Source organism: Homo sapiens, chromosome 1, assembly GCF_000001405.40.
Source record: "Homo sapiens chromosome 1, GRCh38.p14 Primary Assembly".
Lineage (NCBI taxonomy): Eukaryota > Metazoa > Chordata > Mammalia > Primates > Hominidae > Homo > Homo sapiens.
Window position 1 is genome coordinate 146,748,125 of NC_000001.11, and position 15,687 is coordinate 146,763,811.

At 43.5% G+C, this 15,687-nt stretch overlaps 1 pseudogene across 1 annotated transcript in view; it reads left to right on the forward strand.

Moving 5' to 3' along the window:
- The window catches only part of HYDIN2 (HYDIN axonemal central pair apparatus protein 2 (pseudogene)), a 335,703-nt pseudogene that overhangs the window by 261,793 nt on the left and 58,223 nt on the right, over nt 1–15,687 (forward strand). The window contains exons 40-43 of the transcript NR_103556.2: nt 4,410–4,578; nt 7,166–7,345; nt 9,484–9,657; nt 13,758–13,931. The product of NR_103556.2 is annotated as an HYDIN axonemal central pair apparatus protein 2 (pseudogene) (transcript). The remainder of the gene's footprint in view (nt 1–4,409; nt 4,579–7,165; nt 7,346–9,483; nt 9,658–13,757; nt 13,932–15,687) is intronic.

The window sequence follows — 15,687 nt, forward strand, 5'->3', positions numbered from 1 at the left end:
ATTGATTTTGGGATTTGCTGAGTTTCTTGAATCTGTTGATCTTTATCTTCTTTCCAACTTGGAAATTTTTCAGGCATTATTCAAGTACCTTTTTCAGCCTCATGCTCTTTCTACTCTCCTTCCAGGGCTCAAATGACACTCATATTTTGTTTTGTTACAGTTTTACAGTTCTTTGAGGCTCTTTTCTTTTTTTTAAGACTATTTTCTCTGTTATCCAGAGTAAGTAATTTCTATTATTTTATCTTCAAGTTCGCTGATTTTCTTCTCCATCCATTTCATTCTGCCCACATATTGAGTTTTTATTTTGGTAACTATATTTTTACGTTCTAAAATTTTCATTTGGTTCTTTTTTATATCTTGTGTTTCTTTGCTAAGACTTTCTTTTTTTTATTTGCTTCAAGTATGTTCATAATTGTTCACTAAAGCATTACAATCATGGCTCCTTTAGAATCTTTGAAAGATAACTAATATCACTATTACCTTGAAGTTGATATCTATTCATTTTCTTTTGTCATTCAAGCTGAAGTTTTCCTGGTTGTTACTATGATGAAGGATTTTTAGTTAAAACCTGGGTGTTTTTGGTATTATGTTATGAGACTCTGGACCTTATTTAAATTTTGTTTTAACTGGCCTTTTCTGAAATGACTTGGGCAAGGAGAAGGGGGCACTGCCTTCTTACTGCCAGATGCAGGTAATAGTCTAGGTTCCCTCCTTGGCCTTCTTTGACAAACAGTAGGAGGAGCTCTTCACTACTGCTGGGCAGGAGTGGTATTTCTGGCTCTCCGCAAGGCCTCCATTGATACCTTCCTGGCTGGGAGGGGCAGGAGTGCCTTGTTACTACTCTCCACACGGACTCCACTGACTCTGCATGGAAAAATAGAGGGGTAGCCGTACTACCCAGGACCACTGGGTAATGACAAAAGTTCTGACTCCCACTAGACCTCAGCTGACACCACCCCAGCAGAGGGGAGGAGGGGCATTTCTTTACCACCAGATGGACGTGGAAGTCCAGGCTCCCTACATGGGCTTTACTGACAGATTTGGGGGGAGGTGAAGTCTTGTTACCCACTGGCAGGGAGGACACTCCTAAGATGTCCCAGACTTGACGGGTTCATTTCCTGCCCAGACCTGGAGTCAATCATTTCTCCAAGGAGCCCTTGTTCCTTTTAGTATGAAATAGCATTTAGAGATCACAGTCTGGACCACTGGATTGTGACTTTCTAGGTCTTTTTAGTAAATAGAATTAGGAAATGTGATTTTTAAGAGGGGAAAAAAATCATAACACATAATGATGTTTCAAATTCCAATTTAAGATTATAGGATTTTATCTAAATTCTTCAATGATACATTTGTTTCTGCTTTCTCTTGAAAATCATGGATATAAACTTACTTATCAATTTATCTTATAAAATATACATTTGGCCAGGCACAGTTGTACACACCTATAATCCTAGCATTTTGGGAGGCCAAGGCAGGAGGATTGCTTGAGGATTGAGTTTGAGCCCAGCCTGGGCAACATAGCAAAACCCTATCTCTACAAAAAAAAATACAAAATTCTTTGGGAGGCCAAGGCGGGTGGATCACAAGGTCAGGAGATTGAGACCATCCTGGCTAACACGGTGAAACCCCGTGTCTACTAAAAAATACAAAAAAAAAATTAGCCAGGTGTGGTGGAAGGCGCCTGTAGTCCCAGCTACTCAGGAGGCTGAGGCGGGGGAATGGCATGAACCCAGGAGGCGGAGGTTGCAGTGAGCTGTGATCGCGCCACTGCACTCCAGCCTGGGCGACAGAGCGAGACTCTGTCTCAAAAAAAAAAAAAAATACAAAATAATTTAGCTGGACATGGTGACACATGCTTATAGTTCCAGCTACTCGAGGGGCTGAGGTGGGAGTTCAGTTGAGCCTGGGAGGTCGAGGCTGCAGTAAACCAAGATCATACCACTGCACTCCAGCCTGGGTGACAGAGTGAGACCCTGTCTCAAAATAAAATAAAATAAGTAAATTAATAAAATAGCTTCAAAATAGTAATATCAATATTCCTACTAACAGTAAGGCTACTGAGTCATATTATCCGTAAGCATGGTGAGGCCTCTGTGCTGTGTTCCAGCAGCTCCCCCAAATCCACATCTCATGCTCCCACCCTGCTGCCCTACCTTGAGCTACACCTTTGTCTAATAACCTTAGTGCCCTGCTCTTTGAAACGGCCTCTTAATTCCCTCTTGTGAGCAATATTAAAATTAGCTAGTAATCTCTTTTTCCTTCTCCCCTTTCCATCCTCTAATTTAAAATGATTTTATTTCCAGTTAATACCAGCTGAGTAGTCATCTCATGTACCCTTCCCCCATATTTCCTACTTGTATTTTATCTATATTGTCAGAGCTTATAGTATTAAGGTATCAGGACTTAATTTCCATCATGGAGTCTTAGTTTTACACTAAGACATATTGAATGCCCAACACCAATCCTTACAGTGGAGCTTCTCCAATCACTTCTGGGTTGTCTACAGCTCATTCTCTGGTGGATTTCTCAGGCAGGGATCATGGGGATGATATTCTCTGAGTATTCAAACATTCGTAACCATTTATCTGTGACTTTTGAAGATCAGATACAATATTCTTGGCTTACATTTTCTTCACTTGACTATTTTAAATATATTGCTCCATTGTTTCCTCATAAGGTATTCTTGTCCATGAAGCCCAACGCTATATTTGTTATCTTTTGCTGCATAACAAATTAGCCCCAAACTTACCAACTTAAAACAATAAACATTTGTCATCTCGTGCTTTCTGTGGGTCAGAAATTTGAAGGTGGCTTAGCTGAGTGGGGGTTCTGCTTCCTCTGGACCCTCCCCCACTCAGCCTTTGAATCTTCTGTCTTCTTTACTTCCAGTGTTGATAGCCTGCTTAGTTTGCAGTCTGCTCCCAGAAGTTTTTCTCAGAATGGGAATCTGCCCCTTTGGGGAGAGTCTTTTCATTAGGAATTTATGAGATCCTTAGTGGCTTCTGTTGGCACAGCACCTTCTATCAAGAGTCAGGCTCTGTGGAAAGCACAATCTAAGACTTGAGATTTGCATGTGGGAGGTTTCTTGGGGGCACTCTCAGGAACATCTGTGAAGAATAGGACAGCAGAGTTGGGCAGAGGGAGATGAACTGTGATGAGATGGCAATGGAGACTTCAGCTAATCGCACAGGAAGCTCTGGGGCTGGGTTGGCCCTTTGGAGTTGCCCCAGTTGCTGCTTGTTTGCCAGGCCTTTGTGCCCTGTATCAGCCAGTCTTTGGCATATTGCCTCCTTTGCCCACAGATTCTCTATGCCATCTCTATGCTTTATCACAGTTCCATAAATAAATGGGTCAATTCTGAGCTTTCTCTTCTATTTCAGTGGTCAATGTGTCTTTCCCAGCATCATTGCCACTCTGTCTATTACTACAGCTTCCTGATAAGGCTTGTCATCTGGTAGGGCAATAGCCTTCTTTTATTCCTTTTCATTAATGCTTTAATTTTGCCCTTCCATGTAAATTCTAAAATTTACATGGATCTTATTTTACATGGAGCTTATGAGCAGTGGTGTTCAAATATTTACATGGAGCTTATTAGCAGTGGTGTTCAAATAACTAAAAATGGGGATCCTGAAGAAGGGTTACCTAACAAAACAGATTTTTGATATCAATAAATCAGGTTGTAGAAGAAGTAAATGCTTTTTAAAACTTAATTTTGCTGTGTCTTGTAAATACACATACACACTAGGATTGCCAGATTTAGGAGAAAAAAATACAGGCTGTCTAGTTAAATTTGAATTTCAGATAAATAACAAATATTTTTTAGTATGTCTCAAATATTACACTGGACATATTTATACTAAAAAGTTATTCATTGTTTATCTGAAACTCAAATTTAACTAGGCATCTTGTATTTTATCTGGCAGCCCTAATACACATTCACACACATGTGCACACATACACGTACTTAATACTATTTTACCTCTTTTTTTCCCCTGGATCCTCTGTTTATGAGACCACACCCTTGCTTAATGTAAAATTGCTAACCACAATATTGTTTAAGAATGAATTGTCACTCAAGGTAGATAATGGAGTTCTGAAATTTTGTCATGGGGAAAAAAGGAAAAGAGTGTATATTAGTTTTAAAACAAGAAGAAAACATATTTCCACAGGTGAAATGCCCAGGCTGAAATGGAGCAAAATAAAGATCATGTATCCCCACAGGCTCAGAGCTCAGCCCTACTTCTGACACCTCTCCAAAGGGCCCCACTCTTTGAAATCCAGAAAGTATTTGTACAAGTCTCAGCCTCAGGCAGGAGCAGGAGTTTTATAAAATCAGTGAGCAGACCCACTTAGAGCTGCAGGGAGATTTCTAGTGAGACCAACAGGATTCTCTTTCTCCCTTCGAGCAGATCTTGCGGAAGCTGAAGGGCTATGATTCCTACAACACCCTGCTGCTGCCTCCCCGCAACCCTGGGGAGAAGCTGCCCCCAGAACTGTACGAGTACTTCAAAGAGATAAAGAAGTCAAAAGAGGAGCAGATGAGGGCGAAATATCTGGAGAATCTGGCACAGGAGAATGGTGAGAACTCAATGTGGAGAACACCTCGTGCTAACCATTGCCTTTGCCCCTCTGAATTACCCCTGCTCTGGGACCAACCTGTTTCTGAGTACCTGCCAGGTGCCAGGCAGGTGCTGCCTGCCTTGTGTATTTTATTTCTAACCCTTACAAAATGGGTCGCGTTATCCCCATTTTATGGATGCAGAGGCTGGAACACATTCTGCTGTCACTAGGGCCCAATTGGGGTAGTATGACCTAAAAACAGCTAATACAGATGGAAGAACACTTGCTGGATACCACGTTGAGGGCTTTGGACGTACAGATGAGAAACTGAAGCGCAGAGAGGCCAGGTCCACAGTTTTAAGTGGCAGAATCAGGATTCCAGCCCAGGGCTCTCTGACTCCAGAGTCCATGATGGTAACCACTGCTTCCTATGGGTAGACCTAGGTAAGGCAAAGTAATGTGTCACACAAGGTAGAAACTGGTGCCCTAAAAGCAGGGGGTGGTCATTCACACAAGCAGAAGACGAGCCCCTCCATAGTCCTCAGGCCAAACTCCAATCGCAGAGCTGTCCTGTGCTCTCAGAATTGTGCCCTTTCTGGCCCACCACCCCTGAGTTATCCCATCATCTGCCCAGGGGCTCTTGTGTGCTTGGCCATAAAGGTTCCTCGCTGACTTGTGGGACTGTGTCACTTATGAGGATGCATCTTCTCTTTCCTGCTTCTCTGTAACCTCATCCTAGAAATGTACCCACCTTGTTTTTACTTGCTTTCATCTGTGTAACAGTCATACACGTAATTATTTTCTTCACAATGCCTCCACCACTAGCCAAGAAGTCCCCGTAAAGGCATTGATCAAATATTCCCCATGTGTAAAACTAGTGCATGGAACAGCAGTAGACCCAATAGTGCCCAATAAATGGGTGCTATGTGAGTGAATGCATTAATGGATTGAATGAAGTTATTTTTCCTGCCCTTGGACCTGTCTCATTGTCCAGGAAATAGAAGCTAATCAGAGACCACTAGTTTGGCTTAAAAGGAGAAGATGAGAGAAGACAGCTGCCACCCACCCCGTCTCCTAGTCACGTTCCTTGAGTTTGCTAGGGCTGCCATTGCAAGTACCACACACTGGGTGGCCTAACCAACAGAAGTTTCTTTTCTCCCAAATCTGAAGGCTAGAAGTCCAAGGCTGAGTGGCAGCAGGGTTGCTTTCTTCTGAATCCCATCTTGCAGTTGGCTGTCTTCTCCCTGTGTCTTCACCTGGTCTTCCTTCTGTGTGTGTCTGTGTCCTAATCTCCTCTCCTCATAAGGACACCAGTCCTACTGGATTGGGACCCACCCATGTGACCTCATCTTACCTTAATTACCTTTTCAAAGGTCCTATCTCCAAATGCAGTCACATTCTGAGATACTCGGGTGTTAGGACTTCCACATATGAATTGGGAAAGGACACCATTAAGCCCATCACAAGGACCCACTGTGTTGCAAGCACTGAGCTAAAGTGGTGGGAAAACAAAATTAGTGAAAAAAGTGCCGGGGAAAAAAAAATCAGAAAATGCAATGAATCCTTACCTTTGAGAGCTCACAGTCATGGAGAGAGTGTGAGGAGAGACACACCATCAGAGAGACTGCCCAGCAGCCCAAGGCAGGGCAGCAAGGGCTGCAATGTACAAAGGACCTCCCAAAGGCAGAGAAGGCCTTGGTGCTCCCCTTGTCCTCACACACCATGATTGTGGGCTCCCTTACCCATCTGGCCCAATGGAAGGTGATCTAAGCCAGGATCAGTGGGTGCAGAGGGAACCCAGAAAGGCACACGCCCTGCTTCTCACCAGTGCCTCTCTGATGAGCTTTGTCTACTCGCTCTGCTCTCACGCTATAGATCATCCTTCTCTGCTTCCCTTCCTTCCAGGGAAGGCCCACAGCCCCAAGTCACAGGACCACCATTCATGAGAGAGCTGCAACCCCTCAGGCTCAATTTCTACCTTGTGTGACAAAGGGAATGTCTTGCCCTGTAGTAGAGGGGGATCACCTCATACAGTCACAGCCCACTGCACCCCTGAAATGCTATAGAACAATGGGCAATCAATGAGGAAGGTGTTGGGCCAACGAAAGGATAGCTGTCCCTAACAATGACACAGGAAATGGTCATGATAAATTAAAAGGGAAAGCAGGCTACACATCAGTATGTACAATATAACCCAAGCTTAGTTTCAAACAATTAAAAATTAAAAATCTGAGAGGTTGCAGCTCTCCTGTGCTGGTATGATAAAATTTGGTACAATTTCTCTGTCACCATTTCTTTGTCTATCTCCAACTCTTTTTGTAGCTGAATTCCATCATTTTTGGCTCTTCTGAGTTTTCCACATTTTCTAAGCAAATGTATAATTTTAGTTGCTAAACAAATGTTAAAATGTAGAAACACTGTGCACAGAGAGACTGAGGAATAGCCAACTGACTGCAGTTCTTGTTTATTTGGGTTGAATGGTCCAGGGTGATGGGAGCCCGTATGGTGAATCTCTTCTTCATCTTTTTTTTCCTTTTCTGCCTCCATCTCCCTTGTCCCCCTCCCAACTCTTCCCCTGGTGTTTTCATCCTTTGCTACCTGGCAGAAGAGGAAGATATAACCTCATCAGATCAGGGAACCTCCAATAGCACAAAGAGGACATCGCTGAGCCGAGGGATCTCTGTCACATCCAACCTGGAAGAATGGCACGCCCTGTTGGTCGAGTCCAAAACCTACCTAGAGGAAGAGGAGGATGAGGAAAGCCTGGAAAAAATCATTTTCCAAAGTAACCGAGCATTTTAATGTTTTGATACTAGTTCTCTCCAAGCAGAAATAGGAAGACAATATTCAGTACCTTGTCACTTTCTCTAAGCCTCCTAGTATGGCTCCTAGCCCATCCTGCCCTGCCCACCACAGCTGCCCTCCGGAGAAGCTCTGATCTGCCACTCACAGTAGGATACAAGCTTGAGAGTTGGCTGATGAGCTTAGCATATAATACATTCTTGGCACAGTAATTTGTGTTTCAACTAGACTAAATGAAGGCCTGAATCTTTCCTGCTAAGATTCTGGCAGACTGGGAGGTGTTTAGAGAAACATTATGGGGATGGGGGACATTCTCCCCAGTGTCCCCCCAGTTGGGCCATTAGAGAGCTCTTCTCTTGACCTCCCAGCATTATGGCCCCATTTTCTGGCATTTATTTTCCCCAAGTTTTGCAAGATGTTGGAACCATATTCAGAAAATTAGATTCAGTGAAACTGGGTTCATGGGGGCCATTTGCTGGTCATCATAAACCATGATAAGGCATAAGCAACCTTGTCCTGTGCCCACCCCCAGAATAGGAATCATGGGTGAGGCTCAGGAGATCTTTAGGGAGCTAAGTCATCATTCATAGCCCTCATCAACCAGGTGAGTAAATGAAGTCAGGAACATGTAATGGCAAAACTGAGATTAAAGACAGAAATTTCTGGCTCCATGCCTCACATTTAATCCACCCTGGCTATGCTGATGGGCCCCCAAGTGGTTCCTGGTCTCTCCGAGCAGCCCTCCCCACCCCATACACCCTGACTCTGCTCCCCATGCCTGGGCTCCTCCAGGGCTGACCCTGGACATCCCACGTAGAAGAAAGCATACCACAATGCTTAGGATGAAAAAACATGAAAACCATCTAAATGCCCATTAGTAGGGAACTAGTGAAATTGTGACAAAGCCATACAGTGGGAGTTATTTAGCAGCTATTTAAAAAGAATGAGCTAGGCCGGGCAAGGTGGCTCAAGCCTGTAATTCCAGCACTTTGGGAGGCCAAGGCAGGCGGATCATGAGGTCAGGAGTTCGAGACCATCCTGGCTAACACGATGAAACCCTGTCTGTACTAAAAATACAAAAAATTAGCCGGGCATGGTGGCACATGCCTGTAGTCCCAGCTACTTGGGAGGCTGAGGCAGGAGAATCACTTGAACCCGGGAGGCGGAGGTTGCAGTGAGCCAAGATTGTGCCATTGCACTCTAGCCTGGCAACAGAGCGAGATGCCATCTCAAGAAAAAAAAGAAAAGCAGAATGAGCTAGACCTGTATTTAAGTAAATGGAAAGATGTCCAAGATATATTATGTGAAAAGCAAGTTACAGAGCAAAATTCAGAGTGTCATCCTAGTTTTGTTATTAAAACACTGAATGTATTTGGGATGACTATATGTATCTGGCTGCACACTACTCTACAATTAATACACATATGATCCTGCAGCTTGCTTTTTTCTAGACGTTCCTCTAGGCCAATGCATTTGATAAATCAAGGTTTGGCAAACTTTTCCCATAAAAGGCCAGATAGTAAATATTTGGGGCTTTGAAGGCTATACAGTCTCTGCCAAAACTACTCAACCCTGCCTTTGGAGGGTGGCTGTGATGACAAAGACAATATGTAATCAAAGGACGTGGCTATGTTCCAATACAACTTGATTTACGAAAACAAGCAGCAGGACAGATTTGGCCTGTGGGCTATAGTTGACTAGTCTGTGATACCGAAGTCATCATTTTAATAGCTGCTGTGTATTGGTTCTATAATATGAATTTACCATCATTTATTCAGCCATTTCCCTTAATGCTGCAGATTTCACTAGTTTCTAATATTTTGCACTGTAAGCCATCCTCCTCTCCACACAAATGTCCTTTCTACTTTTCAGCAAGAGAGATTCCCCAAAATGAAAGTGGAGTCAAAAAATCTGTTTTTTTATTTTAGTAGCTATAAACAAATTATTAGCCCAAAAGGGCCTTCTCGTACACTACAAGTGGGGACTGCTGCAATATTTGCCATTTAAAAAAAACAGCATTTAAAAAGAAATATCCATTCCCATTTCCATCAGTACCCATGTAAATTCCGGCTGTGTAGCATGCATGCCATGTGTGCACACACATATATTTTAAATTTGCAGCTGACAAGCTTCAGAGCATTGACAGCCACTCCATGGAGGAAGTTGGAGAGGTGGAAAACAACCCAGTGAGCAAAGCAATCGCTCGCCACCTGGGCATTGACATTTCTGCAGAAGGCCGCCTGGCCAAGAACCGGAAAGGCATCGCCATTATCATTCACGGGACACCCTTGTCAGGTAGGCAACAGTTCTGAGGGGAGGTTAAGACCAGCAGTGCCATGTCTTCTCTGTAAACTCTGCGGCTTCCAGAGTGGCAACATCAGCTGTGTGGTCATGGCAAATACTAATGACTTTATTTGAGGAACTGCATAGGGTAGTGAATATACATTAATAGCTGTGTGCCTTTGGGAAAATTAACTAAATTGTCTGTGCTCAGTTTCCCTGTCCGTAAAGTGGTATTAACGCTGTCTATTTTATAGGGTAGTCATGAGAATTTAATGAGAACATTTATATAAAATGCTTATCTCAATACTTGGCACATAGTAAATACTCAAACGAAAAGCTGTTGATGTTATCATTGTTATTACTATGATGACTGTTGGCATTCACAATTATAACCATACCTGCAGTGTGAATCCTCTTTGAAAAGAAACTTCCATCACATGCTAAATATTCTCAAGGAATATTTTCCTAACCATAAACCAGTCAAGGGATGAGCCCTTGATAAAGAAAGGATTTTTTAACGAGAATCCTTTATTACCTCCAAAATTACATGTGCTAACTTTACCATAAACCCAAAGGAGCAGAATCACCTACATTGGGAAAAAAAAAATCTTGTTTGTATAGTAATTTGCAGTTCACAGAGCTCCTTCCCATCCATTTGTCTATCTAAACTTCGTAACCACTCAGAAAAGAGAATTTGATTTCCCCTACCTTATGGGAAGCTAAGGTTCAGAGAAATTCAAGGACATCTGCCCAAGGTCACCCAGTTAGAAAGCGGCAGAGCAGAGGGATATTGGGAGGATGCCCTGCCACCTCTCTTAGCTTCAGCTTACTTGACGAAGGGCCATGAAATCTTGTTCTGACCCAATTACTATCATTCATACAGACAACATTTATGGAGCATTTTTGATATTCTAATCACTGAGAGGTCCAGGAATCTAAAAATGTCACAATTCATTACCCCTTCCTTTGAAGAACCTTTCCTTGAGAAGTTGTAAATCAGGACCTAAAAAGTAGAAGGCCAGATGTGTGGGCAAGAGGCAGAAATCAAACGAGGCAAGTAAGAACATAACTGGAAATGTTTTGAAGACCCCCTACACAAACACACCTGCAGAGGCTCAGGCCATTTTAGTGTTGCACTAAAAGGAATGTCAGAAGGATGGTTGATGGATCCATAGAAACTGCAGACAGCTGGAGAGTTAACACCAAAAAGGCACTGACCTGGAAAGAGCCACCAGCCCTGTTCTAGTGGAGGCTCAGTCACTTCTCATCTGCAGGTGAAAAGCCTATTAGAGTGTGAGCTACAGTAATAACAAGCCTGACATTTTTATGGAACCTTACAGCTTTCACAGAATCTTCATGAAGAACAGCTTAACAGCCTATGTCAAAATCAGACTGATCAATATAAGTTATTTTTCCCCTTTTGTTTATGGTGAAGTTAGAACATACAACTTTTGAAGGCAATAAGAGACTCTTTTGTTTATAATCCATATCATTAAGGATTATCCCCAAACTATTAAATTGCTGACCTCAGAGAGGGGATTAAGAAGGAGAGGGAAGACACCTCATTTGGAACGTATACATCTCTGAATTGTTTGAATTGTATTCTTTCCGTAATTTAAAAATATTAAAATATTAGAGAAAAAAATCCCAGACATTAAATTATTTAAAAAGAGAAAGAAATATATGTGCAGACTCTGACCTGACAATGTTACTTCTAAAATTTTCTTAGGAAAAATAATTAATGATGTGGACAAGATGAACTGCTTGAATGTTCACTGCAGCACTGTATGCTGTAATAGAAACTCGGGAGCAATTACAACATTCAATATGGGGAACTGGTTAATCAGGCCACAGTACATTTATATGGTGAATTTTATTGCCATTAAAAACAGTGTCTTGTACACCCATGTTCATAGCAGCATTAATCACAATAGCCAAAAGGTGGAAACAATCCAAATGGCCATCAGTGGCTGAATGGAAAAAACAAAATATGGTATGATGCAATGCTATTCAGCCTTGACAAGGAAGGAAATGGACAGGGTGTGGTGGCTCACGCCTGTAATCCCAGCACTTTGGGAGGCTGAGGTGGGTAGATCATGAAGTCAGGAGTTCAAGACCAGCCTGGCCAACATGGTGAAACCCTGTCTCTACTAAAAATACAAAAATTAGCCGGGCGTGGTAGCAGGCGCCTGTAATCCCAGCTACTTAGGAGGCTGAGGCAGGAGAATCATTTGAACCCGGGAGGCGGAGGTTGCAGTGAGCCAAGATCGTGCCATTGCACTCCAGCCTGGGCTACAGGGCGAGACTCCATCTCAAAAAAAAAAAATATATAGGAAGGAAATTCTGACACATGCTACAACACGGAAGAACCTTGAGGACCTTATGCAAGGTGAAATAGGACAGTCACAAAAGGACAAACACTGTATGACTCCGCTTAGATGAGGTACCCAGACTGGTCAAATTCATAGAGCTAGAAAGAGAAACAGAATGATGGTTTCCAAGGGGCTGGGAGGGTGGTGGGTACTGGGGAGTTATAGTTTACTGGGTACAGAGTTTCAGTTCGGGAAGATGACAACGTTCTGGAGGTGGATGGTGGTGATGGGGGCACAGCAGTGTGAATGTACTTAGAACCACTAAACCATATACTTATAAATGATTTAAGTGACAACTGTTATGTATATTTTACCAAAATAAAAACAGTGTCATACAAGTGTATTGAATTAATGGAAAGTTGTTCATGATATATCATTTTACATGAGAAAGGGTGCCATACTCACGGTGTGTAGTTAGTATTAGTGCCCCGTTGCTACTATAACAAGTGACCACAGACTTCATGGCTTCACATAATGCAAATTTATACTCCCATAGGTCTGGAGGACAGAAGTCTAAAATGGGTGAGCATGACTGTGTTCCTTCTTGGAGGATCTGGGGGACAATCCGTTTCCTTATCTCTTCTAGCTTCTAGAAATGTTGCCTGCAACCCTTGGTTCCTGGCCCCTTCTTCCTCCTTCCCAGCCATCAGCATAGCATCTCCCAGTCTCTCCTGCTACTTCCATGGTTGATTGACCTGCTCTGACTCCAACCCTCCTGCTCTCCTCTCATGGGGACCCATTGCGCCCGGTTGGATAATCCAGGCTAACCCCCCATATCAAGATCTGTAAATTAATCACATCTGCAAAGTCTCTTTTACCCTAAAAGGTAACATATTTGCAGGTGGAAATCTTTGGAGGAGCCATTATTCAGCCTACCACATAACCTATTTCTTTTTTTATAAGAAATACAGTTACATGTGTACTTAGCGACCATAGGCTAACTAACTGTACTATCCCTGAATGAGTGGATGATGGATTTTTTTTCTTTTCTCTTGTCTGTTATATCTGAATTGTCTGCTTTTTTTTTTTGTAATGAAAGTACCTTGAAATGAGAAAAGAAATCAACACAAGTTATTCTTTAAAATAAAAAGTTTTCCTATTAGAATCAGAGACAGGAGGAACTACAAAGTATTTTAAAGATCATCTGATAGAACCTGTTTCTTAAACAGACCCTGTGCAGTGGCTGACACCTGTAATCCCAGCACTTTGGGAGGCCAAGGCAGGTGGATCATTTGAGGTTAGGAGTTCGAGACCAGCCTGGCCAACATGGTGAAACCCCATCTCTACTAAAAATACAAAAAATTAACCAGATATGGTGGTGGGTGCCTGTAATCCCAGCTACTTGGGAGGCTGAGGCAGGAGAATCACTTGAAACCAGGAGGCGGAGGTTACAGTGAGCTGAGATCTCGCCACTGCACTCCAGCCTGGGTGACAGAGTGAGACTCCATCTCAAAAAAAAAAGAAAAAAAGAATCTGTTTTTTAAACTGAGGGAAAACCCAGCGAGGATGCAGATTGCCACAGCACGCACGCATCAGTGGCAGGGTTAGAATCAGACCCACAGCCCTGACTCCAGGCTGAGGTCTTCCTTCTCTTTGCTGCTAACACCTCCAGCCACATGGGAAGGAGGCAGAGCACTCAGAGAGATCACTTTGCAGGGACCTCTGCTCTTGAGACCTTTTCTCTCTGGGACACTGAGCAAATGAGCACCGTGAAATTCAACCCCCTGGTCTTTTTAATAGGAAAGTCAGCCAATGCCGTTAGCGTGGCCAAGTACTACAACGCAGCCTGCCTGAGCATCGACTCCATTGTGCTGGAAGCTGTGGCCAACAGCAACAACATCCCAGGGATCCGGGCCTGTGAGCTCTGCATCAGGGCTGCCATAGAGCAGTCCATGAAGGAAGGAGAGGAGGCTGGTAAGAGCCCATTCTCTTGGGTTTTTGTGGTCAAGTCACCAACACCCCCACTGACAACACCCATCTTCTCTGTGCCCCACTGAGCTCTCCTCCCACAGCCTGGTTGAAGTCTGCCCTACAGCATGCTGCCAACTTCATAGCCCAGAGGAGAATTCTCTTCACGAAGCATTCCTGGGTCTCCTGCCCTGCCCAATGCCAGCGTGCTCTTGCCACTGTGGGGACCAGGACAATGAATAAGACACAGCCCACACCTTTGGTAGTCTGACATCTGGTGAGGGAAGCAGACATGCGGTCACTCAGAGCAGAGGAAAATAATTTTGCAACAGAAATACCAGCTTCTTTGAAAGAGCGACTTTGGGATGAATGGGTTCCAACAAGGGTGATGTGGGAAGTTTTCAAGGAAATGGGTTTGAAGAAGCAAGAGAATATTAGTAGGCAAAGATGGGGACAAGGATATTCCAGACCAAAAAAGCAGGGAAACTGGTCATAAATTAGGGGTGGGAAGGCAGGTTGAGGCCAATCATTGTTCACCTTGAATGCCAAGATGAGGAATTTGAGTTTTATGTTCAAGGAAAAGAGCTATTGGGACAGTTTCACACTATGGAGAAATGATCAGAAAATCACAATAGGAAGGTAGCCCTTGACTATCATGTAAAGGAAGCGATAGTGAAGCTGCAGACAAATGGGCCTGGGCCGGCCAACCCGACAGCCACCTGCATGGTGGAGAATTGAAGGAGTAAGAGGGATTCAAGATGGCCACGCCCAGCTTCCTAGCCACAGAAACCAGGAGAGAGTGATGTCATGTACCTAGATAGGGAACACAGGAGGAAGAAAAAGTTTGCTGGAGAAGAAAATAAATTGGGTTGGGTTTGGGGGAGGGGGGTTGTTTTCTTTCTTTCTTTCTTTCTTTCTTTCTTTCTTTCTTTCTTTCTTTCTTTTCTTTTTTTTTTTTTTTTGAGACAAGGTATCTCTCTGTCACCCAAGCTGGAGTACAGTGGCACCATCATAGCTCACTGCAGCCTCCTGGGCTCAAGCGATCCTCCCACATTCGCCTCCAGAGTAGCTGGGATTACAGACATGCACCACCATGCCTGGCTAATTTTTAGGGTCTCGCTATGTTGTCCAGGCTGGTCTCAAACTCCTGGCCTCAAGCAATCCTCCCAAAGTGCTGGGATTACAAGATTGAGCCACTGTGCCTAGCCTGAATTGAGTTTTGGAATCGCATAGTGGGGAGGTCTGGTGTGGCCTTCCTACAAAAAGTTGAGAATTCTGGCTCCATCAGGTTATTTGAGGACCTTCAGGGCAGGCGAGCAGCTGCTTGATGGGAAAATATACTAAACACCAAGCAGAGCGCCTGCTCAGAGGGGAAGCATTCCTATGTCAGTGCCCATGGCATGACGTCATCCCAAGAATGCTTCCAGCCTGCTAGTTGATAAAACTGGCTGGGACTTTCAGGGTTGTCCCCTCCCCTCAATACCTCTGCGTGGGACACTTAGGGAAATGGAAGATTCTTTGCTGGGAAGATAAGAGAAATAGCTCTTTAGTGAGAACCTCTGGCTATGCCCTAATGCTGGTTCTCTTAAATTTTTTATTTCCTTTTCTGTGAAATAGTCTACATTTCATAGTGATCTGTGGAGCCATGTTTATGTCCTGTGCCTAAGGGTGAATTTGAGTTCCTGGTCTGAGAAAATAACATCAAGCTAGAGACACAGCTGGGAGAGTCTTTCTCCATGAAACCACTAGGGTAGATGAAGCA